The sequence below is a fragment of the Homo sapiens genome, chromosome 1 (assembly GCF_000001405.40).
Source record: "Homo sapiens chromosome 1, GRCh38.p14 Primary Assembly".
In the NCBI taxonomy this organism is placed as follows: Eukaryota; Metazoa; Chordata; class Mammalia; order Primates; family Hominidae; genus Homo; species Homo sapiens.
The window spans coordinates 65436079-65453299 of NC_000001.11; the positions used below are offsets into that span (position 1 = coordinate 65436079).

Genomic DNA, 17221 nt, shown 5'->3' on the forward strand with positions numbered 1-17221 from the left:
GAGATCAGCAAGTTAATTTTCCCAGTGTTTTTGTCTGTATAATCTTAATGTGAATCTGACCAGTTTGAAGCCTGTACTTGCTGTAGTTGAAGAGAAACAGTTCAGGAATGTTGTGCTGACTGGAAGGAATCCAGGCCTTAATTTCTGTGGCTGACACTCCCCATGGTGGACATGGAAGATTGGAAAAGCTGTATTGGAAAAGAAAAAAACCTGACACCTTAAGAAAAGTGCTCTACATATTTTGAAGAGTCTTTTTGCACACTACAGAAAAGAATGCACTAATAGAAAGTAGTCTTTAAGGAATAATATGTCCTCCTTATGCACAAAACATTTGGGAAAGATCTGATGTTTTACTAGTGGATTTAGGCAGCCAGATTGTAAAGAAATCAAGCTAGTTATTTCTTTGCATTGCCAAGCTAAGTGTAAAGTTAAACTTTTAATAGAAATAGAAATAAAAATTTGATAATACCAACATAACTATAAAATGGCCATAAGAAAAGTCAGTTCCCAAGGAAAATTAATAGATGACCATTTTGAAACATTTATTTGTGGTCAATACGAGGCACATAGGCAAAGTGGTCTTAATCCTGAGATTGCTCATTTGGAGAAGAGCACACTTGGAGACTGCACAATCTCTCTTCACTTTTGATTATATCTTTATCAAAATTGAATAATTCTAAGTGTTTACACACTTCGGAATGAATGACTAGATATTAACTTAAGTGTGTGCATTCATTTTTCCCCTCAGAATAATTAAATAATAAAACCATCAGTTCAACTTTAGCTGGATAATCATTGCACTTATCAATTTAAAGCATAAATGCCTCTGCCTCAACACTTTCATTTCCTCTGTGGTTGAGAGACAAATTATATCACCACACTCTGTAAAGTTTCATGATTTCTTACAGCCTTCTCCTCAAAATTGTATGCTTGTTCATCTGACAAACCCAGAATTCTCCAGTACTTCCAACCATCCCTGCTGCAGCCTTGCCATTTGTGGTTCCTTGACAGTGCTGCTGTTAAAATCCACTTAACCACTGATGGAAATGAGTTACGTGAGTTCTGAACACAGGTTTTAATCGGATTCCTGATTAAATTAATGGCAGTGAGTCTTAGGCTTGATTTATTCAAGATTCCATGGTGTGGAACTGACAGTTGCTCAGCTCTTTAATAAAATCATGTATATATGTATATATTTTGAGATGGTATCTCAGTATGTTGCCCAGGCTCCCTGGGCTCAAGCTATCCTCCTGCCTCAACCTCGTAAGTAGCTAGTACTTCTGCTGGAAACATGCAAATGTCCATTAACTGATGAATGGATAATGTGATATATCCATTCAATGGAATGTTTTTCAGACATAAAAAGGAATGAAGTACTGAAACATTGCTACAGTGTGGATGAATCTTGAAGACAATATGTGAAGTGAAAAGAGCCAGTCACAAAAGGCCATAAAAGGTCACAAAAGGCTGAGGCAGGAGAATCCTGAACCCGAAAGGCGGAGGTTGCAGTGAGCCGAGATCGCGCCACTGCACTCTAGCCTAGGCGACAGAGGGAGACCCCGTCTCCAAAAAAAGTTTATATTTCAGTGTAAGTAGAAAAAAACTAGGTAAATAAAGTATATGATACGGTAGGCGCTACTGGAAAAAATATAGTGGGGAAGGAGGATAAGTAGTATTTGGGTCATTGTGGTTTTAGATAGGGTGGCCATGAAAGCCTCACCCAAAAGAGGCAAAGAAAAGAGCCATGTGGATTTTAGGGTCTCCTTCTGTTGCCCAGGCTAGAGTGCAGTGGCAAGATATGGCTCACTGCAAACCTTAACCTGAGCGCAAGGGTTCCTCCCACTTCTACCTCCTGAGTAGCTGGGATTACAGGCACGGGCCACCGCAGCTGGCTAAGTTATTTATTTTTTGTAGAGATGAAGTTTCCCTACATTGACCAGGCTGCTCTCCAACCCTGGCCTCAAGCAATCTTCTTGCCTGTCTCAGCCTCCCAAAATGCTGGGATTACTGGTATGGGCCATGGCTCCTAGCCGCCTTTTTTTTTTTTTTTTTTTTTCAAAAAATATTCCAACTGAGGTTTGGCATTTATTGCTTGAGAAATAAATAATATAAATAAAATAGCTTGATTTAGGAAATGAAGTTGTGCTAGCTGGAACACTGGCCAGGTTATGGCCACGATAAAGAAGAGACCAGCCGGGCACGGTGGCTCACGCCTGTAATCCCAGCACTTTGGGAGGCCGAGGTGGGCAGATTACGAGGTCAAGAGATCAAGACCATCCTGACCAACATGGTGAAACCCCGTCTCTACTAAAAATACAACAGTTAGCAGGGCGTGGTGGCTCACGCGTGTAGTCCCAGCTACTCAGGAGGATGAGGCAGGAGAACTGCTTGAACCTGGTAGGCGGAGGTTGCAGTGAGCCAAGATTGCACCACTGCACTCCAACCTGGCGACAGAGCGAGACTCTGTCTCAAAAAAAAAAAAAAAAAAAAAAAAGACAGTTGAGCTAGAGAGTAAATAAAGTGGCCCCTAATACAGTGGGTATAGATTCATGAAGTGGCAGTAGCTGAACTGTAGCTACTGTTAACTTTGAGGACTAATTAAGACAATGTCAGGAAAATTTTCTTTTTCTTTTTTCTTTTTTTCTACTCTGTGTTTCTTCATTATCTGAATTTATCCTCATGCAGGTTGGAAACTGCTGAAAGCAGTCCATTTTTATGAGCTCTTTTATTCTAAGCCAAATCAGTCAGATTACAAACCCCATTGTATTTTAGATAACCCAAGTGATTATTCAGGTGCTCAAAAGCTTTTAGAGAACTGCTAAACCTCATGTACTTCTGGGCAGTATCAGCAATTAAAAGAGTTTAATTTTCTAGGTGAAACTGATTCTGGTTTGGATTTCTTTATTTGGACTGAGAGATATTTTAACCAGGTTAAAATATTGGTGCAAAGCCATCTCTGATGAGACTTAAAATCATAAAGCTACTTCCCCATGCAGTTCTTGTCACCATTTCAGGGTACTGCTGGGCAATAGGACATGAGTTCCCATTGCTTGTGGGATCTTCAGATGTATATCCCTCCAGTGAATTGGACTCAGTATTGTTGAGACATCAATTTTCCGCAACATGATTTATAGATTGAAAGCAATCACAGTAAAAATCCCGGTAAGATTTTTAGGAGAAATTAATATATTCCCTGATTTCTAACTTATTACAAAGTTATACATTAGACAATGCGATATTGGAGAAAGGACACCCATATAAATCAATTGAATAGAATCAATAATTCAGAAATAGACCCAAAAATATATGGTCAAATGATTTTTGATGTTAAGGAAAAAATAAAAACATTTTAAGCTGAGGAGATACAGGACAAATTATTTGCCCTCATGGAGCTTACCTTCAAATGGGCAAGACAAATAATTTTTAAAGTAAAAAATAATTCAATAGTGAAATTTGGGCTGGGTGCAATGGCTCATGCCTGTAATCCCAGCACTTTGGAAGGCTGAGGCAGGTGGATCATCTGAGGTCAGGAGTTCAAGACCAGCCTGGCCAACCTGGTGAAACCCTGTCTCTACTAAAAATACAAAAAATTAGCTGGGTGTGGTGGCAGATGCCTGTAATCCCAGCTACTCAGGAGGCTGAGGCAGGAGAATCACTTGAACCCAGGAATCACTTGAAGGCAGAGGTTGCAGTGAGCCGAGATCATGCCATTGCACTCCAGCCTGGGCAACAAGAGTGAAACTCCATCTCAAAAAAAAAAAAAAAAAAAAGCTGGGCGCAGTGGCGTGTGCCTGTAATCCCAGCTCCTAGCTACTCAGGAGGCTGAGGCAGGAGACTAACTTGAACCCGGAGGCGGAGGTTGCAGTGAGCCAAGATCGCACCACTGCACTCCAGCCTGGGCGAGGAAGAGAGATTCTGTCTCAAAAAAAAAAAAAAAAAAAAAAAAGAAAAAGAAAATTGACAGTAGTGAATGCTATGAAGAAATAAATCAGGATAAAGGCATAGAGAATGACTTACAGTGGTGCTATTTAAATAGGGTGGATAGAGACGATTGGTGGCTGAATAGAGCTATTGAATAATGAGAAGGAATCAACACGATGGGACCTATTTTTAGGTCTACTCTTTCGATTCTTTTTAATTTTAGGTCTACTCTTTCACTTATTCTTTCAAGAAATATTTGTTGAGCACCTATTATGTGCTCAACATAATTATATTATTCTAGGTGCTGGAGATAGAACAGTAAATAAAACAGACAAAACCCCCAGCCCCCATGGTGCTTACTTTTTTTTTTTTTGGTAGGGAAGCAAAAAATAAACTTCACAAATAAGTCAAATGGATGGTATGTTAGTGGAAATGCTAAGGCAAAAAAAGGAAGAAAGGGATGTAGAATATGTGTGAGTGTGCGTGTGGGCGTGAACGGGTGACGGTGGCTTCTGTTTAAGATACAGTGCCCAAGAAAGGCTTACCTAGAAGATGACGTTTGAAGGAAGTAGAGGCAGTTATGGAGGCGGCAATGGGCAAGATGGTTCAAAAAGAGGGATAAGCAAGTGCAGCGGCCCTGAGCTGGAGCGTACCTGTGAGCTGGCATGAAGCCTTCAGGGAGAGTGGAGGGAGATAAGATAATGTGTGTGTAGGGGTGGATGGATCCTATGGGGCCCAGCAGGTCATTGTAAGGCGTCGGCATTCATTTAGAGATGAGACGCCACTAGAGATATGAGCAGGAGTGGCCTGATTATGTTTTATTCGGATTGCTCTAGCTGTGTTTTAATTAAAACTATTTTATAAAGAGAGGAAAAAACAATTTTGCTTTTCCAAATCAATCATGTTTATGTCTTTGAAAGAGGAGAACAACAAATCACAGAAAACATAAATAAATGCATTTTGTTCAGGGACAGATGGCTGAAGCAACGAGAGTGAATCACAGAGTCACAGAATCACAGTTATGTGCAAAGCACTCAGGAAATAGCTTGGTCCCTAATTAATCATTCCATGTTGTTAAACTCTGTGGAGATAAATTTAGCCAGCAGTAGGTAGAATGAGATGAATTCTCATGAAAACATGTTTTCAATGAAGTTGGCAAAGAATGCTGTGTAAACCCCAAATAGCTGAAACTATGTCCTAATAGCATTGAGCTTGGTGTGCCACATCCTTAGCAATAACCACTTGAGTGTCTGTCCCTGGGGCCTGCAGATGAGGATGTTAACATCTGATTTAGCAGAAGGGGTGGGGAGAGTGATGGGGGACAAGGGAGAGAGTCCTGAAACATACAGGTGGTGACCCTAGGAGCTGACTTTGGTGCCATTTAGGCATATTTGCTTTCAGGACTCACACTTCCTTAGGTTTAAGCTATCAATAAAAGGAAAGTGGTTTCTAAGTCCTAGCCTTTGGACTGTATTCCTTTAATTCATATAGTGGAGCAGGGGGAAAGTTATCATTTTAATGGCTGGTAGCACAATTCCGAGAAGAAAACTTTTTTGTTTATTTAATCTTAGATAAGCCATTTGAGTGTTAAGAGCTATGGCCCACGACAGGGAAGGGATTTGAAATGTTTTAGATAATAAAGTGAGGAGAATTTGGGATTTGCATCAGAATGACGAAGGGGAAGTGGGGGAGGGGTGATACACTAACACCAGTGGAGAAGAAATCCAGGGAAAAGGTGACAGAAATCCTGGCCACTGAAGGGCTGGAGCCTGAGGCTAAAACAGTGCCAGGGAGACCCTCTGGGGTGACAGCCTAAGAATTTTTGATAACAAGGATATTGGCAGAGCAGTGGTGAAACCCTCTCCCCTTTTCCCATTGCTTCTCCCTCCTTTGCCCCAGATTCCCACTCAAAGCCTGTGATACATACTGTTGTTCACTGTGGTGTTCAGGTATACTGAGGGGTAGGAGAGTGAAGAAAAGGAGAATGGTTTGCAAGTGGGGTTAATGTGGGCTGAGAGAGAAGAGGACAGCAAAGAGGCGTGAGACACAGGGTAAAGAAAGCATTCAGAGTAAAATGGACCAAGAGGTGAGTAGGAGAATAAGTTACCCCAAATGCCTCAGAAATATTTGTTGGGAGGACTCTGCTATATGAGACTTAAGCCCTTTTTAAAAAAATAAAATAAAATGAAAAGGTGATTCCCAAAAGGTTGGTGCCTTATGAGGCTTCATCTGCATAGGATCCCTGGTTTCACAACTCCTTATCTTGACCAGACTTTCTATTGATTCCAGGTCTTTAGACAATAACTTAATTCTTTCAACCAACTGTCAATCAGAAAATCTTTGAATCCACCTATGACCTATGACCCCTCCCCTACTCCACCCCACTGATTTGAGTTTGTCCTGCCTTTTCCAACTAAACTAGTATATATCCCACATGTATTGATTAATATCTTTTGTCTCCCTAAATGTATAAAAACCAAGCTATAACCCAACCACCTTGGGCACATGTTCTCAGGATCTCTTGAGACTGTACCTTGGGCCTTGGTCATTTATATTTGACTCAGAATAAACCTCTTTAAATATTTTACAGAGTCTGACTCTTTTCATCAACAGCTGGAATATTTGTTTCTTGATCTAATGATGATTACACAGCAGTTTTAAGTTTGTGCAAGTTTATTTGGTTTTATACTTACAATATATACACTCAATAAAATATGATATACCTCAATAAAAATAAAGCAATGCCTTCCCTGCCTCCAAAAACAAAACCAACCTGGGAATACAAAGATCAAATAACAGTGCCTGCAGAAGCTTAGAAAATCGGCACAGATGTGACATTTGACTCAGTTCAGCACACATTATGGAGGGTTACTATACAAGGGAGACTGCACACAGAGACCATACTCAGGAGCCTGAGGATCCTGAATCACTGACCTAGAGGGAAGAAGTACCAGCCCCTATCTTGAGGACCTCATATTACAAGGCAGTAATAGACATGCAAAAATTAATAGCAACAGTCTGATTCTGGCAATTGGCTGATATGCCAACTCTTACCACTTTTCAACATTGTGCTAGATATGTAAGTGGCAGAAAGACTGAAAAGGAATAAACAGATTATTATTTGCATTCTATGCTCTTATTTACTTAGAAAATCCAGGAGAATCTATACACTATTAGAAAAAAATTACACTTATAAAACTTACTAGATAAAAGATCAGTATCAAAAAAATCAATTGCTTTCCTAAACACCAGTACTAACTAATTAGAAAATGCACTGGGCACAGTGGCTTAAGCCAATAATCCCAGCATTTTGGGAGGCTGAGGTGGGAGGATCACTTGAGCCCAGGAGTTCGAGACCTGCCTGAGCAACATAGCAAGACCCTGTCTCTGAAAATGCAATTTTCCAAATTTTCAATAGGAACAATTACATAAATGATTATAATATATATATATAATTTTATATATACACATCTATATCTGATGTTATAAAGATGTGCAATACTTGGAGAAAAATTTCAAAAATTTTTTGCTGGGTATATAAGCTCTAAATATATAAAAAGATATACTATATTTAAATACTAAGGGATAAAGTATTAAGCATTCAATGAATACTGGAAAAATGATTGGATGAGTTCATATTGGACAGAGCCACATCTCGGTCTTCTTTTGGAATCCTTTCTTCATATAGTACCTAGAATAGTGCCTGACACTGTGGGAAACCAAAATATGTCACCTCAAAATATACTTCTTTGGCGTATTTTCAGTTGGTTATTCAGAGAAGTAGCAGACAGGAATAGTTCTGAAAAGCTGTTCTTTTGGGGGTAGATTTGCATCTGTAGAGGAAATCTGCATTGGTGAGGTAAAGAACAGACACAGAGGCTTTCTCTGAGGTCCACCTATCTGGATCAGGAAAAAGGAACTCAATAAGAAAAGGAGACTAAAGACCTGATACTTTTTTTTTTTTTTTTTTTTTATACTCTAAGTTTTAGGGTACATGTGCACATTGTGCAGGTTAGTTACATATGTATACATGTGCCATGCTGGTGCGCTGCACCCACTAATGTGTCATCTAGCATTAGGTATATCTCCCAATGCTATCCCTCCCCCCTCCCCCGACCCCACCACAGTCCCCAGAGTGTGATATTCCCCTTCCTGTGTCCATGTGATCTCATTGTTCAATTCCCACCTATGAGTGAGAATATGCGGTGTTAAGACCTGATACTTTTAAAGTTTGGACAGTGAAACTTTTGCTGCATCTCTTCCTTCTGAGGGCTGCTCCCAGAGAGACTTCATCTGCATCACAAGACAGCCTTTGCTCACCATGCCTTTCCTCCCCACACCCTCTCATAATGTGTTGCTACCTCCCTGCAGGAGCCTTTAGGACCCTATTTCTTTCTGTAGCTTAAAATGCTATTGAAGCTTCAACTATCTGGCCCTTCTTTGATTCTTCGAGTCTCGTAGTTTGTGTGGCTCCTGTGCACATGTGCATGTGATAAATGTGTATACTTTGTCTCCCATGAATCTGGCTATTGTCAGTTTCTTTTATAGACTCAGATTAACAAACTTTCAGAAGGGTGGAGGCGGGCGGGGGGTGGGGTGGGGAGGGAAATCCCTTTGCTCCTACAGCAAAGTAGTAGGGACTCAAAAAATATCGAAGAGAAGAAAACAAAGGAGAGGAAAGGAGGAAGGGATGAATAACTTTATTTAAATGAGAAAAGTGGCACTGAGTTAAAAATTATTAAATATTTTGAATTCTTTATGTTATTACAATTTTTACTTTTGCTAACATCCTCTTGCTTTATTGTTGTAATAATGTGTGCTCATATAGTCATTAAGAGTTTACAAAACTGTGTCAATTAGGTCCATATAACAATGAAAAAGCAGCAGCATCACTGGAAAATCTCGAGGCTCTTCAAGGTTAAGGGGCTTGCCTTAGATGACAAATAACCTGACTGTTACTCAGACCCAAGTTTTTTGACTTCAAGGGCAGCGACTTTGTACTCTACAGATGCCAATCTAAATGGGCTGCAAGCTAGATGTGTAGGCTATGGATTGCCATCCTAATTGGGACACTTTTGAGAGCAGAAGTAGGTGTTATCCATTATGTTGGGACAATAGGTGTAAATTGGTACCATCTTGGGTACATCCAAGGTACAGTTTACCTTATCTATGGCTGAAAACTGAGTTTAAATTAATTCTTCTTACGGGCAGCACAAGTCAAAAAGCCCTTTGCCAAGCTGCACAGATTGTAAATGCTGCTCCTGGCTGTGTTCAATGTATATTTGGACAAAGTCAATAATAAATAAATAAAGGTCAACTATGAATTAAGGTAGGTTTGTTAGTTTGTTTTTTGGTAAAAGGAATGTCACTTGCTTAGAGAGGTTAATATACTGCATGTGGGGCAAAGTTGCTGGTAAGTATCATTCTTCCTTCTGTCCTTCGAACCCCAAATGACACATCTTGTTCACGTATCCACTATGGTGTAAGACATCACTGGGTGCTGGCTGTAATTTTATCTTCCTTCTTAAAGTCTTTATAACGTGAAGATAATGAGTGGATCTGTGCGAAACTCACTACCAGGATCAGCCAATACTTGTTTTTCTGTGGAGCTTTTGGTGATTACTTTAACTGAATAGAGTTTTTTTTTTTTAAACAGCAAATCTTTCAATGTATTAGCAATTTTAAGTAAGAATCTCTAACTTGTAACACACACTGAACTTAGAGTTTTGTTTTTTTTCTACACATGCCATTTCTGCAAGTGAACTTAAGAAATTTCAACTAATATAGAAGACTTAATCAATTCTCAATTACATGTTGTAAATTAACCTGCTAACAGGAACAGGTGAAACTCTCTTAACATTTTAAGGACATAAAGTAATCAAATATGCAGATTTAACACAAAACCATTAATATTATGGGGTTCTTTTCAATATTTCTATGCTTAATTTTAAATCTTTTTTAGGATAAAATTGTTTTCCAACTAAGAAAAGTATTGTCATCCTATTTTGTGAGATACCACTAAGTCAAATGAGATTGCGTAATGACCAGAGATATTATTAGTTGAGGTGCTGACTGTATTTTTATCTGATATACCAATGAGTCTTTTCACTTGGGTAAATATGTAGGAGCTGGATTTCTGAGTTGAATGGTAAGTCTGTTTTTAACTTTGTACTAAACTGGGATTTTGTTTTCCAAAGTGGCTGTACAATTTTGCATTCCAACCAACAATGTATGAGAGTCCTAGTTCTGCATGCTCATCAGTAAATAGAATTGTCAGTTGTTAAATTTTAGCCATTCTAATAGTTCCTACCCTTTTTTAGACCATATAGGGTAATGACATTGCCATGGCATCTGTAAACTGTCATGGCGCTAGTGGGAGTGTCTTTTGGTATGCTAATACATTATAATTAGTGTATAATGAGCAATGATATCGAACAGAGGTCACTTTCATTGCCATGTGGGTTTGGGTGGGTTTTGGCCAGCTTCTTTACTGCAACCTGTTTTATCAGCGAGGTCCCTTCTGACTAATGATGTTAAGAATCTTTTAATGTACTTATTTATAATCTTTCTATCTTCAGTAAAATGTCTATAGAAATTATTGGTCCATTTCTTTATTGAGTTGTGTGATTTCTTAATACTGAGTTTTGAAAGATCTTTATATATTCTGAACTCAAGGCTTTATTGTATATCTCATTTGCAAATATTTATCCAGTGCATGGCTGGTCTTTTAATTTTCTTTTTCTTTTTTCTTTTTCCTAACTGCTAGATGATGTGGGAGTCTTTTCAAATCCTTAGCATCTTTGGAAGAGCAGAAGTTTAAATTTTTGATAAAATCTAATTTATCTTTTTTGAGACAGGGTCTCACTCTGTCACTCAGGCTGGAGTGCAGTGGCACAATCATGGCTCACTGCAGCCTCAACCTTCAGGGCTCAGGTGATCCTCTCACCTCAGCCTCCTGAGTAGCTGGGACTACAGGTGCCCACCACCATGCCTGGCTAATTTTTGTATTGTGTGTAGAGACAGGATTTCGCCATGTTGCCCAGGCTGGTCTCAAACTCCTGGGCTCATGTGATCCACCTGCCTCAGCCTCCCAAAGTGCTAGGATTAAATTTATCATCTTTTTTTTTTCTTGGATGGATCATAGTTTTGGCATCTTCTTAGAAATCTTTGCCTAATGTCGTGATGATTTTCTCCTATGTTTTCTTCAAAGTTTTATAGTTTAAAATTTTAGATTTAGGTCTGTAATACATTTGAGTTAATTTTTTGTAAAGGGTATGAGTGATCAATCAAGGCCCTCCCTCCTTCCTTTCCTTCCTTCCTTGTATATTGAAATCCAATTATTCCAGCACCATCTGTTGAGTCTTCCTATTCATGAACAGGGACTGTCTCTCCATTTATTTAGTTTCTATTTGATTTCTTTCATTAGAGTTCTATAGTTTTCCTCATATAGATCTTGTACATAATTTGTTGGATTTATACCGAAGTAGTTTGGTTTTGGGGGTGCTGGTATAAATGGTATTGTGATTTTTCTTTTCTTTTTTTTTTTTTTTGATACAGGGTCTCACCCTCTCACCCAGGCTGGAGTGCAATGGTGCAATCTTGGCTCACTTGTAACTTTGGCCTCCTGGGCTCAGGTGATCTTCCCACCTCAGCCCCTTGAGTACCTGGGACTACAGGTGTGCACCACCATACCTGGCTAATTTTTTTGTATTTTTGTTTTGCAGATATGGGTTTTTGCCATGTTGCCCAGACTGGTCTCAAGCTCCTGGGCCCCAAGTGATTTCATTCACCTCAGCCTCCTAAAGTGCTGTATTGTGTTTTTAATTTCAAATTCCACTTGTTCATTGCTCATACATAGGAAAGTGATTGACTTTTGTATATTAATCTTGCTCTAGTTACTTATTAGTTCCAGGAGTCTGTTGTTTATTCTTTTGGATTTTCTACATGAACAACTATGTCTTCTGTGAACAAAGACAGTAATATATATTCCTTCCAGATCCATGTACCTTTCATTTCATGTTCTTATCCCAGTATTATCTAGGATTTCCAATATGATGTTGAAAAGGAGTGGTGAGAGGGAACATCCTTATCTTGCTCTTGATCTTGGTGAGAAAGCCTCATGCTTCTTATCATTAAGTATGATGTTAGCTGCAGGTTTTTTGTAGACATTCTTTATGAAGTTGAGGAAGATCCACTCCATTCCTAGTTTACTGACAGCTTTTATCATGAATGTGTGTTGGAGTTTGTCAAAAGCTTTTTCTGCATATATTAATATGATTATGTGATTTTTTTCCTTTAGCCTGTTGATGTAGTGAATTTTACATTAATTGATTTTTGAATGTTAAACCAGCTTTGCATATCTGGGATGAATTCCACTTGCTCATGGTGTATAATTCTTTTTATACATTGTTAGATTCAATTTGCTAATATCTTGTTGAGGATTTTGCATCCGTGTTCATGAAAGATATTGGATCTGTAGTCTTTTTATGTAATGTCTTTGTCTGGTTTTGGTAATAAGGTAATGCTGGCCTCATAGAATGAGTGGGGAAGTATTCCCTCTGCTTCTGTCTTCTAAAAGAGATTGTAGAGAGTTGGTATAATTTCTTCCTTAAATGTTTGGTAGATATTACCAGTGAAACTATCTAGGCCTTGTGCTTTCTGTTTTGGAAGGTTATTATTTATTAATTCAATTTCTTTAATAAATATTGGCCTACTCAGATTATTTATTGATTCTTGTGTGAGTTTTGGCAGATTATGTCTTTCAAAAAATTGGTCCATTTCATCTAGGTTATCAAATTAAATTTGTGGTCATAAAGTTGTTCATAGTTGTCCATTATTATCCCGTTAGTGTCCGTGGGATCTGTAATGATGTTCCCTCTATCCTTTCTTGCTTTGTTGTTGTTGTTGTTTTTGAGATGGAGTCTTGGTCTGTCGCCCAGGCTGGAGTGCAGTGGTGCTATCTTGGCTCACTGCAACCTCCACCTCCCAGGTTCAAACGACTCTCTTGCCTCAACCTCCCCAGTAGCTGGGATTACAGGTGCCCACCACCAAGCCCAGCTAATTTTTGTATTTTTAGTAGAGCTAGGGTTTCACTATATTGGTCAGGCTGGTCTCGAACTCCTAACCTCTAGCGATCCACCTGCCTTGGCCTCCCAAAGGCGTAAGCCACTGCACCTGGCCTCATTTCTGATATTAGGAATTTGTGTCATCTTTTTGTTTTTCTTGGTTATCCTAGCTAGAGGCTTAGTGGTTTTATTTATCTTTTTTTTTTTTTTTTTTGCTGAGGTTTTATTTTGGAAAAAAAGAGCAATTGAATTGTTTTGTAGCTGGAGAGTGCCTCAGGCAGTGAACTCCTCCTGGGGATGGGCTGAGGGCAAGGGCTAAGCCTCAGGTGGGTCTCCTGTTCCCTGTGCTCCCCTGCACAGCTGCCTCCCTCTCGGACCCTGGGGCAGCCGCAGGAAGGGTAGGCTGGGAGGGGCTGCCATGGCTGTTCACTTGGGCAGGACATCAGAGGACTCGAACACCAGCCTCCCATCACAGGTCTTGATTTTCTTCACAACTACAGCCCTGGTGGAGCTGCTGCAGCTGAAGGAGCTGGAGCCTGTGCCAGAGCCAAAGCTGGAGCCCAGCTTCCCTCCGGCAACTACCTGTAGGTGGCAATCTCCATGTCCAGGGCCTATTTATCTTTTTTTTTTTTTTAAATAGCTTTTAGTTTCATTGATTTTTTTTCTATTGATTTTCTGTTTTCAATTTCATTGATTTCTGCTTTCATTTTTATTATTTCTTATTCTTTCTTTAGAATTAATTTGTTCCTCTTTTTTCTAGTTTTTTAAGGTGAAAGCCTAGATGATTGATTTTATATCTTTCTTCCTTTCTAATATATACATTTAATGGCATAAATGTTCATCTAAGCACTGTTTTTACTGTATCCCACAAATTTTGAAAAGTCATGCTTTTATTTTCATTTAGTTAAAAATAATTTTAAATTTCTCTGAGATTTCTCTTGTGACCCATGTGTTATTTTGAAGTGTGTTGTTTAATCTCCATGTATTTTGGAATTGTCCGGTTGTGTTTCCGTTATTAAATTTTTAGTTTAATTCTATTGTGGTTTGAGAGCAGATGTTGTTTTAAATTTGCTAAGGTGTGTTTTATGGCCCAGAATGTGGTCTATCTTGCTAAATGTTCCATGTGAACTGGAGAAGAAAATGTTTTCTGCAAAAGTTGGATGAAGTAGTCCATAGATTTTTTTTTTGTTCCAGATTAAATGCTTTTTTAAAAAATTTATTATTATTATACTTTAAGTTATAGGGTACATGTGCACATTGTGCAGGTTAGTTACATATGTATACATGTGCCATGCTGGTGCGCTGCACCCACTAACTCGTCATCTAGCATTAGGTATATCTCCCAATGCTATCCCTCCCCCCTCCCACCACCCCACAACAGTCCCCAGAGTGTGATGTTCCCCTTCCTGTGTCCATGTGTTCTCATTGTTCAATTCCCACCTATGAGTGAGAATATGCAGTGTTTGGTTTTTTGTTCTTGCGATAGTTTACTGAGAATGATGATTTCCAATTTCATCCATGTCCCTACAAAGGACATGAACTCATCATTTTTTATGGCTGCATAGTATTCCATGGTGTATATGTGCCACATTTTCTTAATCCAGTCTATCATTGTTGGACATTTGGGTTGGTTCCAAGTCTTTGCTATTGTGAATAATGCCGCAATAAACATACGTGTGCATGTGTCTTTATAGCAGCATGATTTATAGTCCTTTGGGTATACACCCAGTAATGGGATGGCTGGGTCAAATGATATTTCTAGTTCTAGATCCCTGAGGAATCGCCACACTGACTTCCACAATGGTTGAACTAGTTTACAGTCCCACCAACAGTGTAAAAGCATTCCTATTTCTCCACATCCTCTCCAGCACCTGTTGTTTCCTGACTTTTTAATGATTGCCATTCTAACTGGTGTGAGATGGTATCTCATTGTGGTTTTGATTTGCATTTCTCTGATGGCCAGTGATGGTGAGCATTTTTTCATGTGTTTTTTGGCTGCATAAATGTCTTCTTTTGAGAAGTGTCTGTTCATGTCCTTTGCCCACTTTTTGATGGGGTTGTTTGTTTTTTTCTTGTAAATTACTTTGAGTTCATTGTAGATTCTGGATATTAGCCCTTTGGCAGATGAGTAGGTTGCGAAAATTTTCTCTCATTTTGTAGGTTGCCTGTTCACTCTGATGGTGGTTTCTTTTGCTGTGCAGAAGCTCTTTAGTTTAATTAGATCCCATTTGTCAATTTTGGCTTTTGTTGCCATTGCTCTTGGTGTTTTAGACATGAAGTCCTTGCCCATGCCTATGTCCTGAATGGTAATGCCTAGGTTTTCTTCTAGGGTTTTTATGGTTTTAGGTCTAATGTTTAAGTCTTTAATCCATCTTGAATTGATTTTTGTATAAGGTGTAAGGAAGGGATCCAGTTTCAGCTTTCTACATATGGCTAGCCAGTTTTCCCAGTACCATTTATTAAATAGGGAATCCTTTCCCCATTGCTTGTTTTTCTCAGGTTTGTCAAAGATCAGATAGTTGTAGATATGCAGCATTATTTCTGAGGGCTCTGTTCTGTTCCACTGATCTATATCTCTGTTTTGGTACCAGTACCGTGCTGTTTTGGTTACTGTAGCCTTGTAGTATAGTTTGAAGTCAGGTAGAGTGATGCCTCCAGCTTTGTTCTTTTGGCTTAGGATTGACTTGGTGATGCGGGCTCTTTTTTGGTTCCATATGAACTTTAAAGTAGTTTTTTCCAATTCTGTGAAGAAAGTCATTGGTAGCTTGATGGGTATGGCATTGAATCTGTAAATTACCTTGGGCGGTATGGCCATTTTCACAATATTGATTCTTCCTACCCATGAGCATGGAATGTTCTTCCATTTGTTTGTATCCTCTTTTATTTCCTTGAGCAGTGGTTTGTAGTTCTCCTTGAAGAGGTCCTTCACATCCCTTGTAAGTTGGATTCCTAGGTATTTTATTCTCTTTGAAGCAATTGTGAATGGGAGTTCACTCATGATTTGGCTGTCTGTTTGTCTGTTATTGGTGTATAAGAATGCTTGTGATTTTTGTACATTGATTTTGTATCCTGAGACTTTGCTGAAGTTGCTTATCAATTTAAGGAGATTTTGGGCTGAGACAATGGGGTTTTCTAGATATACAATCCTGTCGTCTGCAAACAGGGACAATTTGACTACCTCTTTTCCTAATTGAATACCCTTTATTTCCTTCTCCTGCCTAATTGCCCTGGCCAGAACTTCCAACACTATGTTGAATAGGAGTGGTGAGAGAGGGCATCCCTGTCTTGTGCCAGTTTTCAAAGGGAATGCTTCCAGTTTTTGCCCATTCAGTATGATATTGGCTGTGGGTTTGTCATAGATAGCTCTTATTATTTTGAGATACGTCCCATCAATACCTAATTTATTGAGAGTTTTTAGCATGAAGGGTTGTTGAATTTTGTCAAATGCCTTTTCTGCATCTATTGAGATAATCATGTGGTATTTGTCTTTGGTTCTATTTATATGCTGGATTACATTTATTGATTTGCGTATATTGAACCAGCCTTGCATCCCAGGGATGAAGCCCACTTGATCATGGTGGATAAGCTTTTTGATGTGCTGCTGGATTCGGTTTGCCAGTATTTTATTGAGGATTTTTGCATCAATGTTCATCAAGGATATTGGTCTAAAATTCTCTTTTTTTGTTGTGTCTCTGCCCGGCTTTGGTATCAGGATGATGCTGGCCTCATAAAATGAGTTAGGGAGGATTCCCTCTTTTTCTATTGATTGGAGTAGTTTCAGAAGGAATGGTACCAGTTCCTCCTTGTACCTCTGGTAGAATTCGGCTGTGAATCCATCTGGTCCTGGATTCTTTTTGGTTGGTAAGCTATTGATTGTTGCCACAATTTCAGATCCTGTTATTGGTGTATTCAGAGATTCAACTTCTTCCTGGTTTAGTCTTGGGAGAGTGTATATGTCGAGGAATTTATCCATTTCTTCTAGATTTTCTAGTTTATTTGCATAGAGGTGTTTGTAGTATTCTCTGATGGTAGTTTGTATTTCTGTGGGATTGGTGGTGATATCCCCTTTATCATTTTTTATTGCGTCTATTAGATTCTTCTCTCTTTTTTTCTTTATTAGTCTTGTTAGCAGTCTATCAATTTTGTTGATCCTTTCAAAAAACCAGCTCCTGGATTCATTAATTTTTTGAAGGGTTTTTTGTGTCTCTATTTCCTTCAGTTCTGCTCTGATTTTA

At 38.9% G+C, this 17221-nt stretch overlaps 1 protein-coding gene across 3 annotated transcripts in view, besides 1 other annotated feature; it reads left to right on the forward strand.

The window, feature by feature from the left end:
• LEPR (leptin receptor) overlaps positions 1 to 17221 on the forward strand; it is a 220908-nt gene that overhangs the window by 15427 nt on the left and 188260 nt on the right. The gene's annotated exons all lie outside the window — the stretch shown is intronic.
• Positions 4448 to 4742: a silencer, noted in NCBI's record as "tiled region #13002; K562 Repressive DNase matched - State 8:EnhW". NCBI's record gives its function as "represses a minimal TATA promoter and a strong SV40 promoter by Sharpr-MPRA in K562 cells {active_cell/tissue: K562}" and the evidence as "EXISTENCE:reporter gene assay evidence [ECO:0000049][PMID:27701403]".